The 6,048-nt window shown below is 43.8% G+C and overlaps 1 protein-coding gene across 1 annotated transcript in view; it reads right to left on the bottom strand.

Annotated features, from left to right (window-relative positions):
- Window positions 1-357: 357 nt before the first annotated feature.
- The window catches only part of CD8B2 (CD8B family member 2), a 56,934-nt gene continuing 51,243 nt past the window's right edge, over window positions 358-6,048 (bottom strand). Inside the window, exon 6 of the mRNA NM_001368307.2 lies at window positions 358-663. Coding sequence (NP_001355236.1) covers window positions 618-663 — 46 coding nt within the window. The 3' untranslated portion in view covers window positions 358-617. The remainder of the gene's footprint in view (window positions 664-6,048) is intronic.

The raw sequence follows: 6,048 nt of genomic DNA, 5'->3' as shown, positions 1-6,048 counted from the left end.
CAGAATCTCTGAATTGGATGAGGCCTCAAAGACCGTCCAGCCTAGTCCCTTATTTCGCAAATGAGGTTGTGGAGACATCAGAAGCTGAAGTGGCTTGCTTCGGGTCATGAGTAAGAAAGTGGATTCGACTGGACAGTGTCTGGAAAGGTAGCCTGGAAGGGCTGTGTCTGTCCTCCAGAGGAAGCTGAGAGGAGGCCAGACCCCAACAGCCCAGCTGGGAGTCCGTCCCCTTCCAACCTGGGCCTAAGCCTCAGGAGTGAGTTGAACGGCTCTCCCCGCATGAGAAGACACATAAACTACCCACTAGTATGGTCAGAGTTGTGATCTGTGAAACTGGGCTAAAAACAGCAAGCTACATTTAGTCATTAAGACGTTTATTTCTGCAACTGCTTCCCACATTCCAAATCTATTCAAAAACCTATTCAAATAACTAAAAACTTGTTGGTAACTTTTTTACAACTCCCATGCAGCTTCAGGATGGCCTCGCTAGACACGCATGCAGTCTGAGCACCTGTTCAACCATACTCCACCAAGTCCTGCAATTATTGATGATAAGCCTGCACACAGGCCACCCACGTGCTCTTGACCAAAGCGGATCAGGCAGTCCCAGTCCCTTGCTAGGCATCCATGGGGAAATGTGAAAACAGTTCACAAGATCTGGGTCTGGAAGAAAAATAGGACTTTCATGAGTAGAGAAGAACAATCGAATCAGATGCAAAAGATGGGCAATGTACATCACAAAACTTTCAGTGTATAAGCACAAATCCACAGAAATCCATCCAAGTTCATGGAACCTGTGAAACTCATAGAAAGCTTGAAATATAAACTGTCCAACTAAGACAGCCCTAGCTCCAGTCAATAAGAGTAATTTCACTGGGTTCTCCATGGTCCAGGGCTACTGGAATTCAGAAGATCCTGATATTTACATCATGGATTGACAGGCTTTGGATATTTTGTTTCTTTTTACTTTTATATTCTTTATTTTGTTTAATTAATTTATTTATATTGAGACAGAGTCTCGCCCTGTTACCCAGGCTGGAGTGCAGTGGTGCAGTCTTGGCTTTGGATATTTTGTTTCTTTTTACTTTTATATTCTTTATTTTGTTTAATTAATTTATTTATATTGAGACAGAGTCTCGCCCTGTTACCCAGGCTGGAGTGCAGTAGTGCAGTCATGGCCCACGGCAGCCTCAACTTCCGGGTTCAAGCAATCCTCCAATCCTCAGCCTCCCAAGTAGCTGGGACCATAGGTGGGTGCCACCACGACCGGCTAATTTTATTTTATTTTTTTGTAAAGAGGGGTTCTTATTATATTGCCCAGGCTGGTCTCGAACTGCTGGGTTCAAACGATCTTCCCAGGAGGCCTCAGCCTCCCAAAGTACTGGGATTACAAGCGTGAGCCACTCCGCCAAGCCTGATATTTTATTTGAAAATACCTAAGCCTCACTTGCAGGACTTTGTAGCTGCAGGTAAGGCAGTTCCCGGCGGTCGGGATACAAAGAGAAACATGAGAAGCCCGGGTCCTTCCGCATTGAAGTTACTTCTTCTCAGGAGAGAACTTCCAACTTTCTTTACACTGTTAACAGAGCCTATAACGAGTGGCAATCATGACTAAATACTTGTTCCTTGGGCTCAAAAACAGGGTACATTAACGCGAACCTCCCGGACCTGTGCGGCATGGCCGAGCGCTCCTCTTTCTTTATGCAGTTCTGCGCTGGAACACACGGGGGCAGCAGAGTCTAGCCTGACCCCGAGCAACGTACGGAAATGTTAGGGGCACTGCTCAGTTGATAAGCCGGGGCTGGATGATGGGCGCACATGTATTCACTTATACACACATACGTACATATACATATGTAAAATGTATATACTTTTATATTTATTTATACTTCATATATAGTATGTATTTCATATATATTTCATATATAGTATGTTTCATATATATTTCATATATAATATATATTTCATATATAATATATACTTCATATATAATATATACCTATATATTTATATAACCTATTTTATACATTACATAATATATATCCTTCATGGGGAAGGATTTCTTTACATCCTTCTGGTCTACCCAAAGTTGTCTTTAATAGGCATGTATTTGTTAAATAATCAGGAAAAAAAAAGAATTAACTTGAAAGTGGAAGAAAATGCACATTAATGAAAATCCAGGATATATATTGAGAGTTTTTCCTCACAAAAATATATTTCAGTTTACAAAATAATTAGTAATATAAGGACTCTAAGTAACAATCTCTATTCATGACTGTATTAGTCAAATGCCTTTGAGCACCTCATATGTGTATAAGTCACTCTTTTAGTTTCCAAAGATGGCAAGAGAAGTCAGATCTAGTTACTGCCCGCAGTGAGCCCACAGCTGACCAGCCGTGAACCCCAGATAATGACTGTTATATCAGAGGGATGCGCAAAATGCTGTGCAGACAACAGAGACGGAGACCGTGAACTCTACAAGGGCTGAAGTCCCTGAGGATCTACAGAGGAGGGGAGGCTGAAGGTTTGTCTTCAAAGGTTAAGTAAGAATTGACCAGTTAAAGTGGCAAGTGGCGTATCAGACAGGGAACAGTCAAGACAAAGTTTATGGAGAGTTGGAAGAAGGAAAAGTTGGCTGGAGGTAGAGTGAAGGCTGAGCCATGGGGAACGGTGGTCCCGCCAGAGAGTGAACAGCCTTGACCTCTAGCTTACACTGCAATGGGATGGCTGGCAGAGGCTGTAGTTGAAGCCATGCCTGGGCTCTGGATACAGCTCTGCCAAGATAGGGCAGATTCGTGGTGGAGTTGGAAGGATAGAAGGGATGAAATATGTTGGTAGGTTCTCTATTCCAGTGACTTTCCAACTTTTTAAACTGCAACCTGCAATAAAGAATGCCTTTCACAATGCCACTCAATATACAGAAATATACATGCATGTGTGGTGGACATTCATATAATGCAAACATACATACAATATGTAATGCACTCCCACCTTGTATGGTCTCTATTTCATTAATAGAGAGAGATTTCATAATCCACTAACAGGTCGCATCTTACGGTTTGAAAAATGCATTCTAAAATGGTTTCTCAACCTCATACCTTTGACGTTTTGGGCCAGGTGATTGCTGGTTGTGGGAGCTGTCCTGTTCATTGCACAATGTTTAGCAACATATCCGCTAGATGCCACTAGCATCCCCTTCCCAAGTTCTGACAGCCAATAATGTGCCTGGACATTGTCAAATGTGCCCTGGGGTGCAAAACTGCCCCTTGGTTGAATACCACTGCCCTAACCAAAGGGAAATAATCTGGTTTTGGGGGAAGAGGACGTTTGACCTCACATTCAGGAGTGAGTGGCCCTACTTCCATAGGGGGTCACTAACCACCAACAAGAGAGAAGAAACTGACCAATTTTGAGCATGAATGACGGAGAGGGATCTAGAGTTAGTGGGAGGTCCTAGTGATACACAGATACAAACAGGCATGCTGCAGACCTTGTCACACAGCCAGCGTGCCACCGTGGCCTACCTCAAACCACACCTGCCTGCCTTCCTCTGCCCCAGCCCACCAAGCCTGCCCACCACAGGGCCCTTGCACATCCAGCTCTCTGCAAAACTCTTCATTCCCTCTCCTCCTGCTGGGCTCCTGTGGACCATTGAGTCTCTTAAAGGTCATTTTCCCCAAAAGGCTGTCTCCACTCCCCCAGCCGAATGAAGCTCCCCTGATATGCCTTCAAGACACCCGCTAGTTGTCACTTTGAATACTTACTGCAAAAGGTAGTTATAAGAGTATTTGGGGCCGGGCACAGTGGCTTGCGCCTGTAATCCCAGCACTTTGGGAGGCCGAGGCAGGTGGTTCACAAGGTCAGGAGTTCGATACCAGCCTGGCCAAGATGGTGAAACCCCATCTCTACAAAAAATAGAAAAATTAGCCTGGCGTGGTGGTAGGCGCCTGTAATCCCAACTACTCAGGAGGCTGAGGCAGGAGAATCACTGGAACCCAGGAGGCAGAGGTTGCAGTGAGCTGAGATTGCGTCACTGCACTCTAGCCTGGGTGACAGAACAAGACTCCATCTCAAAAAAAAAAAAGGAGTATTTGGATGATTATTTGCTTGATTTACTTTTTCCCCCTCAAGACTGTGAAAGTCCTGAAAGCAGGGGGTTTGCCTGCTTGGCTCACCCAGAACAACAAGCCGACTTGCTAAATGAGGGAGTGGTACTGCCAGTTGACTTCATTCTTGGTCCTATTTTTATCTGTTTTGAGATTGACATTAATGCGCCTTTGGTGGGCTGGTCTCCTAGGGCTAATTGTCATTTCTTTGCAGTAAGAAATGTTGAAAAGCTTTTTAAATAAAATAATGAAAATACGAATTTCTCACAAAGGCTGAGTTTCTAATAACATAATTATTCCAACACTCATCTTGAGACCACATAATTAAGAAACAGTAATACTTGGATATTTTTTTTAATTTGAGAGGTCTACATAAACGATTCTCTGCATGATTCTTTCTTTGATCATTGAAGCTGTCATTTTCTTTTTTCATTCTTAGGAAATCATTCCACATAACAAAATTGAATTTCTTTCAAGCCATAAAATTATTGGAATATAACATCCACCCTAACTTCATCTACATAACATGAAGTATATAATTTCCACTCAAAATTAATTCTCAATGTAAACAAGAATAACAATAAACCAAAATTCACTTATGTTTACTATGAAATAGATTTAACGATCAGGAAGTCCCATGACAAAAAAGGGAGATTCAGTGACGGGAACAGTGATTAAGTTAGCCAAGATGCTCAGCAGTAGGAGAATACACTTTTTTTTCCCACTTGGCAAAGCTTAAATAATTTTTTAAGTGTCAGATTCTGTTCTTATTTTATCAGCCAAAGGAGGCTTGGTTTCCAAGCCGTGTATCCGTCAAGAAATTGGAATTCAAGCAAACACATATTTTGAAGTTTGATGCATTGAAGCCAAACACTGTAGAGACAATGATAAATATGATATGGTCCATCTTAAAAATGTTTTTGGTGTTTGTGTGAAACATCCTGTAAGCTGGAATTAAGCAGCAAAGAGCAATGATGCCCAGAAGCTGCAGCCCCGTGTGGCCCCCTAATTCCACAGTAAGACCCCTTATTTGTCTTCAGAATAAAAGATGAGCACACCGCACACATGGTATTGTGTCCCAAGTACATCAACTTTCCATGTTTTGGCGTGGAAACAAGAAACATCTTTACTTCAATTCCATAAAGTAGTTCTCTAAATTTTAGAAATATAAATATGTTTGCCTTTTGGGACCAATATATATATTTCCCCTTGAACTCACTTATTCATCCATTTATTTCACAAATTTATAAGGAGCTTGCCCTGTGCTAGGTGCTGTGATACCTGCTGGAGACACAGTGGTGAAGAGACACAGGAGGTCTCAGCACACAGGTGAGACCCACACATGGGCCCCGAGTGCTGTGGGGGCACCAGGCACTCTGCTAAGTGCTTCATGTGCCTCACTCATCAACACAGCAACTCCATGGGGCAGGCACTGCCCTGGCCCTGAAATGAGTGAGGCCAAGGTGTGTAAGTGAACACGTGTTCACTTGCGCTGTGACCAGGTAGAGTCAGAAGTTCAGCCAGCACACACCAGCTGCAAGAACCCGGCTCTGAAGTCCTCATGTGTCACTAGTTCATGAGCTACTGATCACACACATGCAGTCACACAGATAAACAGTCACACCGTGCACAAGCTCTGGGAGGGGGACACACTGCATATGAGACTGTTTCAGATGGCAGTGCCCGGCCTGATGAGGAAGGGCAAGGAAGGCCCCCAGGGGAAGCCTTGAGGCAGTGTGGAAGGGTGGGTGGGTGGAGAGCATAATATGAAGAGGGAGGGGTCCAAGCTCAGCACAGATGCCAAGAGCCAGACCTTTGAAAATATGTGGCCAAGACCCAGGAGTGCCTGGACACACGGAAGCCAGCTATTACCAGAGATAGTGACATGCAGGTGAACATCTGGGGAGTAGGAGGTGGGGAAGGGTGTTACAGACAGGAATTC

This window comes from Homo sapiens, chromosome 2, assembly GCF_000001405.40.
Source record: "Homo sapiens chromosome 2, GRCh38.p14 Primary Assembly".
NCBI classification, from domain to species: Eukaryota; Metazoa; Chordata; class Mammalia; order Primates; family Hominidae; genus Homo; species Homo sapiens.
Note: the sequence above shows the minus strand (reverse complement) of the source record. Positions and strands in the feature narration are given on the sequence as shown.